At 50.7% G+C, this 14,566-nt stretch overlaps 1 protein-coding gene across 5 annotated transcripts, besides 4 other annotated features; it reads left to right on the top strand.

Annotated features, from left to right (window-relative positions):
• The first annotated feature begins 368 nt into the window (after positions 1 to 368).
• S100A16 (S100 calcium binding protein A16) lies at positions 369 to 6,623 on the top strand. Of its 5 annotated transcripts, XM_047446559.1 has the most exons (4): positions 4,151 to 4,328; positions 4,476 to 4,607; positions 5,329 to 5,507; positions 5,814 to 6,623. In XM_047446559.1, the coding sequence occupies exons 3-4, from the start codon at positions 5,355 to 5,357 to the stop codon at positions 5,970 to 5,972; spliced, it is 312 nt and encodes a 103-aa protein (XP_047302515.1). In that variant the 5' UTR covers positions 4,151 to 4,328; positions 4,476 to 4,607; positions 5,329 to 5,354; the 3' UTR covers positions 5,973 to 6,623. The 5 variants fall into 5 exon arrangements, 4 of the variants coding, with proteins under 4 accessions (NP_525127.1, XP_047302515.1, NP_001303936.1 ...); NR_133645.2 differs by lacking the exons at positions 4,151 to 4,328; positions 4,476 to 4,607 and adding an exon at positions 369 to 554 and having other exon boundaries at positions 5,788 to 6,620; NM_080388.3 differs by lacking the exons at positions 4,151 to 4,328; positions 4,476 to 4,607 and adding an exon at positions 369 to 554 and having other exon boundaries at positions 5,814 to 6,620.
• Positions 3,590 to 4,303: an enhancer, noted in NCBI's record as "H3K27ac-H3K4me1 hESC enhancer chr1:153581679-153582392 (GRCh37/hg19 assembly coordinates)". NCBI's record gives its function as "activates a minimal SCP1, AML or CMV promoter by ChIP-STARR-seq in naive H9 embryonic stem cells {active_cell/tissue: H9 hESC(naive)}" and the evidence as "EXISTENCE:reporter gene assay evidence [ECO:0000049][PMID:30033119]".
• Positions 3,590 to 5,178: a biological region, named in NCBI's record as "CDK7 strongly-dependent group 2 enhancer GRCh37_chr1:153580804-153582003".
• Positions 3,979 to 5,178: an enhancer, noted in NCBI's record as "CDK7 strongly-dependent group 2 enhancer chr1:153580804-153582003 (GRCh37/hg19 assembly coordinates)". NCBI's record gives its function as "activates an origin of replication core promoter dependent on BRD2, BRD4, P300/CBP, MED14 and CDK7 cofactors, with strong dependence on CDK7, by STARR-seq in HCT116 cells {active_cell/tissue: HCT116}" and the evidence as "EXISTENCE:reporter gene assay evidence [ECO:0000049][PMID:35650434]".
• Positions 7,521 to 8,476: an enhancer, noted in NCBI's record as "H3K27ac-H3K4me1 hESC enhancer chr1:153577506-153578461 (GRCh37/hg19 assembly coordinates)". NCBI's record gives its function as "activates a minimal SCP1, AML or CMV promoter by ChIP-STARR-seq in naive H9 embryonic stem cells {active_cell/tissue: H9 hESC(naive)}" and the evidence as "EXISTENCE:reporter gene assay evidence [ECO:0000049][PMID:30033119]".

Here is a 14,566-nt window from a genome sequence, read left to right as displayed (position 1 = left end):
ACAGAAGACCAGGGAGCCAGACAGGTCCCTGGCATCTGCCTTCTGATTTGAGCACAGAAGTCGGGCGTTACTCCTGAAACCCCAGTGGCAAGGAGGTTTCTGTGGCCAGTTAGGCTGGCCTGGAATGTTAACTGAACTTGTCTGTTGGGAGCCCCTGAAACTGGGATCCCAGTGACCCAGGTGAGAAAGGCAGGTGATAGTCCTTCCCTTCCTTTCTCTACCCTGTCAGGTTCTGCTCAGCCCCTGCGGGGCTGGGAGGGTGGGGTTGGGGGAGTGCCAGTTTTCACCACTCCCTCTGGGATGGGGGTAGAGGGGTGTGAAAAAAGGTGTGTATCCCTTTAACAAGGGCCCAACCCCAGGGCCAAGTCAAGAAGGAGCTCAGCCACTATCTCCCCACCGAGCCAGCTCAGCGGGCAGGGCTGGGAGGGAGTGGGACAGATTCTGGGAGTGCAGCGGGGAGGAGTCCCGGCTGGGCTGAGCGCAGGGAGCTGCTTGGCAGTGCCAGAGCCCAGGCCCCAGAGCCCTGCTGGAGAGGAGGCAGACTGAGGCAGCAGGTGAGCACCCTGGGCCCGGCCTGGGAGGTCTTCGGCTGCCGGAGGGCCCCACAGTATTGGGAGGCCAGGAGAAGGGGCAGTGAAGGGGGCCTGGGGAGAGGGGCCTGCCAGAGAGCAGGCAGGAAGATTTTGGTAATTATTAACTTTCTCCCACAGGCCAGTTTAGGAATGGGGAGTCCTGGGGGGTTGGGGGCTGGGTGAGGCCTTTAGAGGGATGGATGGGATGGTGAGACCCCCTCCCTGCCGCAGCAGCTGACGGAGCTCCTCTCCAGGGGCAGAGTATTTGGAAGCTTTGACCACAGCTACTCGATCCTCCCCAAAAGGAGAGGACAAATGCGTGTTGGTCTGGGTTGGGGGTGGTCAGAGCTTGGACACAGGCCTTGCTGGGCTCTGGGAGCTGTGTCCTAGGGGAGGTGATGGGGTCCAGAAGGAACCAGGCAGTTTCCAGGGAGCCTGAGATTCCGAGAAGAGGAGGCGGGGGCTGAGGTGGCGTCCCCTCTACCTCACGACCCAAGCAGACCCCACTGTGTTCCAGGAGCTGTTCCTTGAGAGGGATGATGAGATCTGGGAGGAACCCGAGTGAGGCTGTGGGGAGCCTGCAAGCTCCCTGGGAGAGGGAAAGATAGAGAGAGGGGGGCTGAACCTCGGCAGCTCCTCCACCTCAGGACCCAGGCAGGCCCCGGCTTGAGCTGCTTTTCTTGGCAGAGCCACCTGCACTATGGGAGCCTTCCCCTGCCCAGCCCAGTGGGGATGGTGGTGAGGGCAGGGGTGCTGGGGAGCTGGCTCTGCCTTTCCCCACATTCTAGTAAGTGTTGTTGAGGCTGGGGTAGCTGTGTGTGTGTTGGGGGAGGCGGGGGCAAGATCCACACTGAACTCCTCCAACTTCACTTGCCTGGAAAAATTTCAGAGGCTGGCTTCTTGCTCCAAGAACTGAAGTGAGTGGAAGGGTGATGGGTCACCCAAGCAGAGGGGATCAGGAATGGCCGAGGTCCTTGCTCGGTGTGTGTGTGTGTGTGTGTGTGTGTGTGTGTGTGAGAGAGAGACAAAGAGAGTTAGACGCAGAATCCTGTGAGGATGGTAAGGGGTGAGGCAGGGCCAAGCAGGCCCCACTATGCTCCGGGAGCTGTTCCTGGAGAGGGCCTTGTGGAATTGGAGAAAGAACACAGGAAGGAGCAGAGAATGGAACAGCTGAGGCTGGAGAAATTTCATTTGAAACAGCCTTGCTGATAGAGGTGGCATTGTCAGCCCAGTTCGGATGGCACCTTCCCTATATATTGAAGTTAGAGAGGACAAATGAGTAAATGAAAAAGGGAATGAATGAATGAATGTGCAAGAGAGTGAATGCATTATTGAATGAGCAAGTGAATGAATGAGAGTGAATGAATGAGCCAATAAATGAATGAGTAAGCAAACTCATGGTGCCTAAGTGAGCAAATGAATTCCAGGTAGATGGAAGGGACACAGAGAATCCATACTTAGGCTTGACAGTGGGCTAGGCTCTGGAGAGAACAGTGACCAGGAGGGACAGGAGTCTAGGGACACATCCCAACACTTGGAAAAAACTTAAGACTCCAGAGGTGTCTGTGGGGTGAGAAGAGAAGGTGGACTTAGGACGGTGTGGTGGATGTTTGGAGCTCCAGACGGAAGGAGCCTGGGGATGCTAGGGGTGGTTAGGAGGCATTTGGAGGGCGTGGAGCCCAGAACCTGGGGGTGGGAGGGTGGGGCTGGAGTGGCTGGGATCCAGGGGCATGGAGTCAGGGCAATTTGGGCTTTTGGAGAAGTCAGCAAGCTGGGCTGAGGTGGGTGGGGTGGGGGTGGGAGACTGCTTGTTGCTCAATGATGAATCAGCCAAGGGGAAGACAATGAGAACATTGGGGTAGGGCTGGAGGCCTGAGGTGAGAGGGCCCATTGGAGGACACGTGGTCCTCCCATTCCCACATTTCTGGAAGGCTCCTGTGTACACTGTCCACTCAGGCCAGGATCTACCTGTGGCAGGGCCAATGCAGGAACGACCTCCTGCTTGACCTTTCTAGGAAGCGGCTGATGGGATAGAACATCTGCCCGACCCCTGAACCAGGAGACCCGGGGCCTGGCTGGTGGGGGAATGGGGCAGGCGGGAGGAGCAGGTGGCTTGTGGGGTGGGTGGGGTGGCAGATCCTGTCTCCTGGCCTCCAGGGGAGGGAGGCAGAGGAGGATAACGATCCCTGCCTGCCTGCTACCCTATCCTTCCTTCAGAAAAAGCTCCAGAAAAGCACTTGTCAGATGGTTATCTCCAGCACTGTCCATTTTACCGAAGGTGGGGAGCGGGTGGATTCCTGGGAGGAGGGGCTGGGAGCTGAAGCCCTGAGGCACTGGAGCTCCCGCTCTGGGTCTCCCAGTACTCCTGGGAGCAGGTGGCAGAGTCATCTCTGGGGCTCATCTGTGTCTTGGCCACTTGGCTGCTGCCAGAGGCCAAGCAGGGGTTGAGTCATGGTATTGAGGAAGGCCAGGAGGAGACAGCTCAGAGAAATGACTCCAAGGAGGCAGGTGGTGGGAGAGGTGGGCTAGCTTGTGGGGAGAGTGGCAGAGGGAGGTGCACCACCCATTTCCTTCCCTCTTCCTCTCCCTGACCGTTTCCCACAAGATCCCTCATTTAGGGAACAAGGATTGGGATGGTTAAGTGTGGGGAGTTTCTCTGAATTATCTTCCCACTTCCAAGTCTTGGTTGGGAGTGGACTTGGCACAGTCCTTCCAGAAATGGGCACGGTTTTCAGAATCACCTGGAACACTGGTCATGAACCTGAGCCACCTCCAACCCAAGGGCAGCACAGCAGACAGACCACAGGTTGAACAATGGTCTTCCTCTTCAACTGTAAATGTTAAAGTGTTTGTATGAAAGTCTTGCAGCGGTATAGACAGGGAACCACGCAGTTACACACTTAAATAAAAGAATATGGAAAAGCGTGTGGCTTCCTGCCATCCTGGTACTCTGCTCCATCCTCCCAGCCAAGGACCAGAGGGTTTGGGCAGGCGGAGGAGGGAAGACAAGGGCAGGATTTCCCTTCAGAGAAGCCGCAGCCTGACTCTTCCTCTCAACTCTCCTTCCTTCTTGCTTCCTGGCCTGTTCCCTCCTGGTCCCACCCTTCCTTCAGAAGAGGCTTCATGAAAGAAAAAGCTTAAAAGGTGGTCAAGGACGTGCAATACCCGTTATCAGGGCTGGAAGGAGGTGGAATATTTATAGAACGTGTACCTTGAGCAAGGCACTGGACCAGGCAATGTGGGCTGGAGAGATGCAGAGATTAAAAGCAGGGGGTGGTGTATATCCAGGATTGAAAAAACTGTCCTAAAGTCTGAGTCCCGCCGCTTGGTTCAGAAAATACATTGGCCATGTGTAAGAAAAACTATGCTTGTCTCAAGGAACAAGACAGGACCCAGAAAGACACCGTGGCCTCACCAGTTAGTGGGCCCCAGCCAGTGCTAGCTGAGTGGTGATGACAGACACGTCTGTGGGAGTCAGGGAGGATGGCACCCAGTGCAGGGGTCAAGGCAGGCTTCCTTCGGAGGCGTGGCTTGGGCGGGGCGAGAGTGATTGGCAGGCTGGCTGGAGAGGGCAGGGCAGCCGGCATGGGAGTAGGAATGGCCACAAGTGGCCAACGGAAAGCAGGTGGCAGGACAGGAGGCTGTGGTGGGGCCTGACCGAGCAGCCTTTCCTTCCAAATCTGACTGTGGCTTGCTCAGGCCCCTATGGTGGCTGTGACCCTGTTTTGTCCATCTCCTTTCACCAGGACCCGCCGGGTGAGGGTGACTGGAGCACATTCCTGGGCTTGGGGGTGGGAAGGGAGTCTGATTTGCCTGGGGTTGATGTGGGGGGGTTTTGGGCATGGGCCGTGACTCACAGAGTAGATCCAGATCCGCCTGCTCCCCTCATATCCTGTTATTCAGAAGGCTGTATCCGCTTAGAAAGTGTCTTTTGTCCTGGGGTGAGAGGGTGACGCATGTGCCCTCTGGCAGTCTGCTGCTGTGTCCAGAGTCCGACTCCAGCTGGGCTGTAACTGGGCTTGGCCCCCGCCTTAGGTAACGATGTGTGGGTGGGGGTGTTCTTGGGTCCTGCTGTGTATTTAGGGATGGGAATAAGGGAGGAGAGGCTAGCAGGGTGTGGCGGGGTGTGTTGGGAGAGCTGCACAAAATCTGATCCAATTGATCTGGACCTTGTCCTTTCCCATAAGGGGCAGCCAGGTTCTGAGACCCGGGACTCACTGTCCTGGAGCCCGGCAAGGGATTGGGGAAGGCCTACATCTTCCTTTCTGCTTTGTTGCCTGGGGCTGGGGTCTCAGCCAGTCCTGGGAGTGGGAGGCAGTAGCCTCTGCCCCTAACCTCCATGGCTCATCCCAGCTGTCCCAGCCATGCTTGGCCCCGGGAGAGGTGGGCCAGCTGTGGAGCAGGGTGGGAGAACAGGTGGACTCTTCTCTTCCCATGAGAGCCTCTTGCCCCGTAGGGCTCTGACACTAGGGATCTTGCTCCCTAGGGCTGGAACCTGGTGCCTGGGGCTGGGGCAGGGCCTGGAGAACCTGTTGAGGCGGTTGAGCTGGGGAGCACCTGGATTAGAGGAGCCGCATAGTTCTCATTCCAGGGCTCACTCTCCCCCACCCACTCTGTTCCCCTTTTCCTGCCACCTTCTTCTCCAGGGACCAGAAACAAGGCAGGAGGAGGGACCCAGGGCCTAGGGTGGGTGTGGAGGAGGAGGAGGTATGGCCTGTGGGTGTCTCTTCTCATCTCCCCTCCTCCTGGTGTCCAGGCCCCGCCAGCAGGCGAAGCAGGGAGATGTCAGACTGCTACACGGAGCTGGAGAAGGCAGTCATTGTCCTGGTGGAAAACTTCTACAAATATGTGTCTAAGTACAGCCTGGTCAAGAACAAGATCAGCAAGAGCAGCTTCCGCGAGATGCTCCAGAAAGAGCTGAACCACATGCTGTCGGTAAGGCCTCTCACCCAAGGGCCTTGCCTCCCTCTCCCCTTCCCTCCCCTGCAAGCCTCTGGCCTCTGAGGGTGTCTTTCCCTGCTGAGGCCTCTATCCTTCCAGTGTCCCCGCTAACTCCAGGGTCTTCTACACCCCCAGGCCTCTGTCTTCTCAGGATGCTTAGGCCTAGCCAGTGAGGGCTATATTTGCATTTCCCAAGGGAAGCAGCTGTGCAGGCCAGATCCTGGGTCTCTGCCTAGGGTCCTGCCTGGAGTCTCTCTGGGGCTTCCACCATCAGCATTGCTGACCCTGCTTCCTCCCCAGGACACAGGGAACCGGAAGGCTGCGGATAAGCTCATCCAGAACCTGGATGCCAATCATGATGGGCGCATCAGCTTCGATGAGTACTGGACCTTGATAGGCGGCATCACCGGCCCCATCGCCAAACTCATCCATGAGCAGGAGCAGCAGAGCAGCAGCTAGAGACCCCTTTGGCCACACCTTCCAGGCACTGGCCTGATGCCCCGCCCTGGTGCTCTCCCCAGGCTCCCTCCTCAGCCTCCTGCCCACCCAGGGCCCTTTACTCTCTTCTCCCTCCAGACCTTCCTCTGACCCTTGCTGAACTGGGGTCCCTTTGTGAGTGTCTCAGTCTAGAGGTACCTCCCTCCCTGGGGGGTCTCAGCTCCTGGAGTCGCAGGCCCTTGGGGCCCCTCTGTGAGATCTCAATGCTGTCTGGGGACCCTAAGAGTTTTCTCACCTGTTCAGTCTCATCTAACCTTCCAATGTCTGATGTTCCTGCCAAATTCCTGCCTGATTCTGGGTCCGTCCTGACCTCCAAAGGTCAGCTTGGTGCTTGAGGTCTCCCTGCTCTTGGTGGCAGTGGTAGCAGCAACAGCAGCAGCAGCAGCAGCAGCAGCAGCAGAGACCTCTCCACTTTCCCTTAGCCCCTCTGCTGGGTAGAGAGGCACTTTCAGGGACTTCCCTCCAGCTGCCTCTTCATCTGGGAATGAGCTAAGCAAGGCTGAGCCTCCTCCTGTTGCTTGAAATAATGATGATATAAAGGCTGGATTTGGAGTTTGTATCCCCTGGTCCCTCTGGGATGCTCATTAAAACCTTCCCACTCCTTGGAAACGTTTTATGCTTTGGTGGTCTTAGCCCTTGGGCCCTGTGATAAGAGAGAATCTCACAGAAGAACCTCAAAGGCAGAGCAAGAAAGGAGCCAGAACTCCTAAATTCCAACAGGCACTGTCAGCTGTGGGCCAGCAGCTCCCTCCATCCTCCTCCATAAAGGGCCAAAGGCCTTAGGTCACCATCTCTGGGCCCTTTTAGCCCAGACTCAGACTCAAATTCAACTTCCAGGCACACTGTAAGTCCCGTTTAGTCCTCACTGCAATTCCACGAGAGAGGGACCATGACCCTTAGTCTTTTTTTTTTTTTTTTTTTGGAGCGGAGAGTTTAATAGGCAAGAAGGGGCAAGACGGAAGGGAGAAGGAAGAAGCTCCCCTGTACAGAGACAGAGGGACGGAGGCCCCAAAGCTGAGAGAGGGAACCCCACCTGCCACAGATACCATCTAGGTATATATACAGAGGCTGGAGGAGGAGGAGTCTGATTTGTATAGGGCTCAGGGGATTGGTTTGACTATGCGTGTCATTCACGTAGCCCTCGGAAAAAGCTGGCCCTCACACCCTAGCCTTTTTTTTTTTTTTTTTTTTTTTTGAGATGGAGTTTCACTCTTGTTGCCCAGGCTGGAGTGCAATGGCGTGCAATCTCGGCTCACCGCAAGCTCCGCCTCCCGGGTACAAGCAATTCTCCTGCCTCAGCCTCCCGAGTAGTTGAGAATACAGGTATGTGCCACAATACCCCGCTATTTTTGTTGTATTTTTAGTAGAGACGGGATTTCTCCATGTTGGTCAGGCTGGTCTGGAACTCCTGACCTCAGGTGATCCGCCCGCCTCGGCCTCCCAAAGTGTTGGGATTACAGGCGTGAGCCACCGCACCTTGCCCCACCCTAGCCTTTTAATATGCAAATGCAGGTCTACACACCTGGGGATATGTGAGGGCAGCCACATTGCCAGGAACATGTGGGGAAAGGGCAAGAAGGCCGGGGGAATCACCATGTTTGGGTGGACCCAGTTTCTAAGGGCTTGCATTTGCATATCAAAGGTTGCCAACCTGGCTCTAAGAGCCGGGGCTTTACAAGAAACTTTTCTGGAGATGCTTCAAAAAAATGAAAACTCCAGCCTGACCAACATGTAGAAACCCCGTCTCTACTAAAAATACAAAATTAGCCGGGCGTGGTGGCGCATGCCTGTAATCCCAGCTACTCGGGAGGCTGAGGCCAGAGAATCGCTTGAACCCAGGAGGCGGAGGTTGTGGTGAGCCAAGATCGCACCATTGCACTCCAGCCTGGGCGACAAGAGCAAAACTCCGTCTCAAAAAAAAAGAAAAAGAAACAAAACAAAAAACTTCCCAAGGACCCAAGGACCCATTTTCCTCTCTATCTGCCTAAAATAATTTCTTAATAACTCCTACAACATTCCCCCCTGTGGAGATGCCACACTAACTGCTGTTAGGGAGTTTTGGGCGACGACTCCTTCTGGCTACTTCTTGTTGCAAAAGGGCGTCGAATGGGGAAGAGCAGCTAGGGCTCCTCCTGGGGTCAATCTAAGGGTCCTCAGAAGAATGATGTGTCTATGTGTGGTTCTGTTTACAGCACCATTTGGAGTTTGATTGCTTCTAGATGAGAAGAAACAATTTGAGTTATAGTATTGTGTATACAGGGTCCAAATATCAATACAAGACACATAAGCAAGAGAGGGCTTAATAAAGGGGTTAACCAATTCCATAAAGAAGACTGGAATTTATTAAAGAGGCATTGTAGCCACTCGGGGATCAATAATTTTGATTTGATTTTTAAGTACTTGTAGATTTTCTTTTAACTAGAGGCATTAATCCGAAAGCAGCATGTTTCATTGAAAACTGCATCACTAAACCCAATAAAAAGTCCTAGCAGATTCAGTGGTAGTAAAACTTTTATGCTTCCTTTTCATTAGTAGCTATTATCCCTGCTATAAGGATAATGATTAAGCAAAATATGACAGCAATGGAAACTCTCTGTTTAATATTTCAGTTAGAAGGTGCTACCATGTATAATCCTATTGCAAATAATAGAGTGAGTATAGCTATTTCCATAAGTGTGGTGTGGTAGATAATTTCCATCTAAACTTTTACCTGTCAAGATATAGAATTCCCCTTTGGGGGTCTATGAAGTTCCTTGGTTTTATTTTCCTAAACGAAGAAACCTCTGGGTTATGGGCACCCTACTCACTTTTATTACCTGGTAGAATTTGCAGAATAATTGCCCAGAACTAATATATTGATTCAGATTTTATATTACCCATCCCTTAATTTTTCTTCCAAGCTGCAGGAGATCACTGCTTGATTCACAGGAATAAGCAGGGTTAGTCTAAAATGTAGGCGAAAAGCTTGAAAACAAAAACAAAAAACAAAAAAATGTATGATAAGCTTTGGAGCACAATTTTTCTCTCTAGTCCTCGTTCTTGGTAAAAACAAGTTATGAATAAACTGTAGTCTTATACTTGCCCTGATTATTTGCATAAAGTGCAGCAAGAATGGTTATTTGTACACAGGCCTTTTGATTGGCTTTGATGAAACTCTGTTTCACAAGGAATTTCAGATAAGACTATTAAAGCCTAAAGTTTGTATTTGAGGATACAAACCTCAAATACCTGTTAGTTGGGTGATCCTCTCCTCTTGAGGTCCCAAGATAAACTCGGAGCTCCCAGACGTGTTAAAAAATGACATTCTTTACTGACTACAGATTAGGAACCCTGTCCAGAGACTGTGTAGACAAGGTATGAGGCCAGTTCTCCCAAAGCGGCTTTTATTGGCTCTGCTTGTCAAGCTTGATTCAGATAGTTTCCAAATTCTAGAGGAACCAGGCAGAGAAATAAACATGCTCCAAATTTTGTTCATAGGAGTACACCTTACTCAATTATTAAAGGCCACAAATAGCTTAAAATAAGTTTCCTTGACTCAGTCTGATGAACGAATTTCCTTTCCTGGCCAACGCACTAAAATGATACGGCTCTGATGAGTGGAGGAACACCAGGGTTCTTGGTGCTCATGCCAGTTTAGATAAAACGACATGGACACACGTGGAGTGGTTTTAAGGAGCGGAGAGTTTAATAGGCAAGAGGGACAAGAAGGAAGGGAGAAGGAAGAAGCTCCCCTATACAGAGACAGAGGGAGGGGGGCTCCAAAGCCAAGAGAGGGAACCCCCATGACCCTTAGTCTTGAGCCATGAGTGGCACTGAGGCTCTGAATTCTCATTAGTAGACTATCCCGATACAGACAGAAGTTGTGGGATGGAGAAGTAGAGGTGCAAGGAAGAAGGAGTGTGGGAGGCCAGGTGGAATGGAAGCCATGACTTGCAGCTGCTGGAGGGGACATTGCCAGTTCCTTGGTTTCTCCCCTGCTCTTGCACTGAGGGAGATCCCAGTAGGAAACCCACCCTGCAGAACTGGGCATCAGCAGTTTTTAAATGGGAACAGCTTAAGACTTTCCAAAAAGATGCACAGGCACAATAGTTTTATTGGCATCCACTTACAGATCCTCAGCCTTCTAAAATTGATCTGCCCTGGAACAGGGTGGCACTCAAGGTGTTGTACTGTTCCTCCTTTCCCACCCCCAGTAGCTGGGATTACAGGCTGGCGCCACCACACTCAGCTAATTTTTGTATTTTTAGTAGAGAAGGGGTTTCACTATGTTGGCCAGGCTGGTCTCAAACTCCTGGCCTCAAGAGATCCACCTGCCTCAGCCTCCCAAAGTGCTGGGATTACAGGCATGAGCTGCCGTGCCCGGCCTACTATGCTACCTTGACTGAATGATAAAGAATGAGTTAACATGTCTTGTTGGTGGCGGGGGGAGGGGGGTGGTTCTATCTATCTATCCATCCATCCATCTATGTATCTATCAATCTATCATCTATTTATCTACTTACCTATCTACCTATCTGCTATCTATCTATCATCTATCTATCTATCTATCTATCTATCTATCTATCTATCTATCGCTATCTGTCAACTGGTAAAAAAGACACAAATTTACCTCTTTTTTTAGTGTGCATTACAGTATTGTTAACCGTATATACATTGTACAAAAGATCTCCAGAACTTTTTCATCTTGCACGACTGTAACCCTATACCCTTTGAACAACAACTGTTTCTCCCTCCCCACAGTGAATACAATTTTACTTTCTGTTTCTTTTCTTTTCTTTCTTTTTTCTTTTCTTTTTTTTTTTTTTGAGACAGATCTTGCTCTGTCACCCAGGCTGGAGTGCAGTGGCACAATCTTGGCTCACTGCAATCTTGACCTCCCTTGTTCAGGTGATTCTCCTGCCTTAGCCTCGCGAGTAGCTGGGACTATAGGTGTATGCCACCACGCCCAGCTAATTTTTGTATTTTTAGTAGGGATAGGGTTTTACCATGTTGGCCAGCCTGGTCTGGAACTCCTGACCTCAAGTGATCCATCTGTCTTGGCCTCCCAAAGTGTTGGGATTACAGGTGTGAGCCACCGTGCCCAGCTATTCTCTTTTACTTATTTCTGCTCTAAACTTTATTATTTCCTTTCTTCTGCTAACTTTGAGATTAGTTTATTCTTCTTTTTCTAGTTCCTCAAAGTGTAAAGTTAGGTTGTCAATTTGAGATCTTTCTTCTTTTTCTTTTTCTTTTGTTTTGTTTTTTGAGATGGAGTCTTGCTCTGTCGCCTAGGTTGGACAACAGTGGCACGATCTCAGCTCACTGCAACCTCCGCCTCCCAGGTTCAAGCAATTCTCGTGCCTCAGCCTCCCGAGTAGCTGGGATTACAGGCACATGCCACAAGGCCCCGCTAAGTTTTTGTATTTTTAGTAGAGACAAGGTTTTTACCATGTTGCCAGTCTGGTCTCCTGACTTCAGGTGATCCGCCCACTCAGCCTCCCAGAGTGCTGGGATTATAGGTGTGAGCCACCGTACCCGGCCATCTTTCTTTTATTTAAATTTAGCATTTACCACTATAAACTTCCCTCTTTATACTACTTTTGCTGCATCTCATAAGTGTTGGTATGTTGTGTTTTTGCTTTTATTTTCTCAATTTTTTTTTTTTTTTGAGATGGAGTCTTGCTCTGTCTCCTAGGCTGGAGTGCAGTGGCGCGATCTCAGCTCACTGCGAGCTCTGCCTTCCGGGTTCACACCATTCTCCTGCCTCAGCCTCCCGAGTAGCTGGGACTACAGGCGCCTGCCACCAAGCCCGGCTAATTTTTTTGTATTTTTTTTTTTTAGTAGAGACGGGGTTTCACCGTGTTAGCCAGGATGGTCTCGATCTCCTGACCTCGTGATCCATCTGCCTCGGCCTCCAAAAGCGCCGGGATTACAGGCATGAGCCACCATGCCAGGCCTTTCTCAAGATACTTTATAATTTCCCTTGTGGTTTCTTCTTTGACCCACTGGTTGTTCAAAAGTGTGTTGTGCAATTTCCACATATTTGTGAGTTTTCTAGTTTTCCTACTGCTATTGATTTCTAGTGTGATTTCATTGTGATCATAAAAAATATTTGGCATGATTTCAATCTTCTCAAATTTGTTAAGGTTTTCTGTGTGACCTAACATGTGCTCTCTCCTGGAAAATATTCAGTGTGTGTTTAGGAAGAATGTGTATTCGGATGCTATCAGGTGGAGTATTCTTTTTTTTTCTTTTTTTCTTTTTTTTGAGATGGAGACTCGCTCTGTTACCCAGGCTTGGAGTGCAGTGGTGCGATCTCGGCTCACTGCAACCTCCGCCTCCTGGGTTCACGCCATTTTCCTGCCTCAGCCTCCTGAGTAGCACCCGCCACCATGCCCGGCTAATTTTTTTGTATTTTTCTTAGTAGAGATAGGGTTTCACCATGTTAGCCAGGATGGTCTTGATCTCCTGAGCTCATGATCCACCCGCCTCGGCCTCCCAGAGTGTTGGCATTACAGGCGTGAACCATCACGCCCGGCCATCAGGTGGAGTATTCTATATATACTCTTAGGGACAATTGGTCTATAATGTTGTTTAGGTTCTCTGTTTCCTTATTGATCTCCTGTATGGTTGTTCTATCATACATACATATTTTAAATGGATGATGGAGGCCGGGTGCAGTGGCTCATGCTTGTAATCCCAGCACTTTGGGAAGTTGAGGTGGGCAGATCACCTGAGGTCAGGAGTTCGAGACCAGACTGGCCAGCATGTTGAAACCCCGTCTCTGCTAAAAAATACAAATATTAGCTGGATGTGGTGGCACATGCCTGTAATTCCAGCTACTCAGGAGGCTGAGACATGAGAATCACTTGAACCTGGAAGGCAGAGGTTGTAGTGAGCCGAGATCATGCCACTGCACTCCAGCCTGGGCAAAAGAGTGAGACTGTGTCTCAAAAAATAAATGAATAATTAAATAAATAAATGGATGGTGGAGGGTATCAAGTCATTGTAATATTTAGATTTATTTATTTATTTATTTATTTATTTTTTGAGGCAGAGTCTCACTCTGTCGCCAGGCTGGAGTGCAGTGGCACGGTCTCGGCTCACTGCATCCTCCGCCTCCTGGGTTCAAGCAGTTCTCTGCCCCAGCCTCCCAAGTAGCTGGGATTACAGGCATCCGCCACCACACCCAGCTAATTTTTTGTATTTTTAGTAGAGATGGGGTTTCACCGTATTAGCCAGGATGGTCTCGATCTCCTGACCTCGTGATCTGCCCACCTCGGCCTCGCAAAGTGCTGGGATTACAGGTGTGAGCCACCGCGTCCGGCCTGATATTTAGATTTAATTGAACATATATTTAGAACAGAATCTTAGCAGTTATATTCTAAAACGTTGCAATATGTAAAACACTTCAGAAACTGCACACTTGGCAATGATTTAAGCATGATGAAAAATCTTAGCTGTCAACCTGAAAAATGTGCAAGCCAGTACATAGTTTACGAAATTCCTTTAGGGCTCAAGAAAAGAACAATTCCTTTAGGGAGCACAGAAACAAACCTTGTGAAGACAGACTACTGCTTTAGGGAACAGCAGGGTCACCAGCAATGCAGAGTAGGTGCTACCTAGGAAGGCTTCCTAGAGGAGGCATGAGCTGGGCTGGAACAGAAGGCAGGAGAGGGGCAGGCCTGGAGGGGGTGAGGAGGAAAAAGGCAAAGAGCCTTCTAGAAGACAGAGCAAAGATGATGGTGCCAAGGCCTTGTGGTGGTGAAGGAGGTGGCTCCTCGAAGCCCAGGGGATGGGGGATCTCCTGGAAAATCCTGGAGGCAATTCAGGATAGAGCTGCCCTTCCTGCCTCCTCTCTCATTTTCCAGTCCTCAATACTGTGCCTGTTCCCTCTCACCCCACTCAGCATTCCCATCTTTCCTTCCAAAGGGAGAAGGGGCCAGATGTGGTTGCTCACGCCTGTAATTCCAGCACTTTGGGAGGCCGACGCAGGCAGATTGCAGGCAGATTGTCAGGAGTTCAAGATCAGTCTGGCCAAGATGTTGAAACCCCGTCTCTAATAAAAATACAAAAAATTAGCTGGGCGTGGTGGTGCACACCTGTAGTCCTAGCTACTCAGGAGGCCAAGACAGGAGAATCGCTTGAACCTGGGAGTTGGAGGTTGCAGTGAACCAAGATTGCACCACTGCACTCCAGCCTGGGTGACAGAGCGAGACTCTGTCTCAAAATAAATAAATAAATAAATAATAAATAAATAAAAGGAGTTGGAAACTGGTGAGAGAGGGCAATATTATCTCTGCATCAGAGACAAGAGAGAGACTCTCTTAGGAGGGGTGAGGGAACAGCTGCAGGCTGTTTGGGCCAGCCCCATCTCTGTCCCCAGGACCACTTCTGCTTTCTTGAGAGAAGATGGGCTTTGCTCCCCTCACTGCCCGCAGTACTTGGATGAAACCAGCCCTTCCACCCTACCAAGACTGTAGGACAGCTGGCAGGAAATGAGTATGTGTGTGATGCTAATTAGAAGCCTGTTGCTAGGGGGTTTAAGGGCTCTGGGGAGGAAGCCGAACTTCAGA

Source organism: Homo sapiens, chromosome 1 (assembly GCF_000001405.40).
Source record: "Homo sapiens chromosome 1, GRCh38.p14 Primary Assembly".
Classification (NCBI taxonomy): Eukaryota; Metazoa; Chordata; class Mammalia; order Primates; family Hominidae; genus Homo; species Homo sapiens.
Note: the sequence above shows the minus strand (reverse complement) of the source record. Positions and strands in the feature narration are given on the sequence as shown.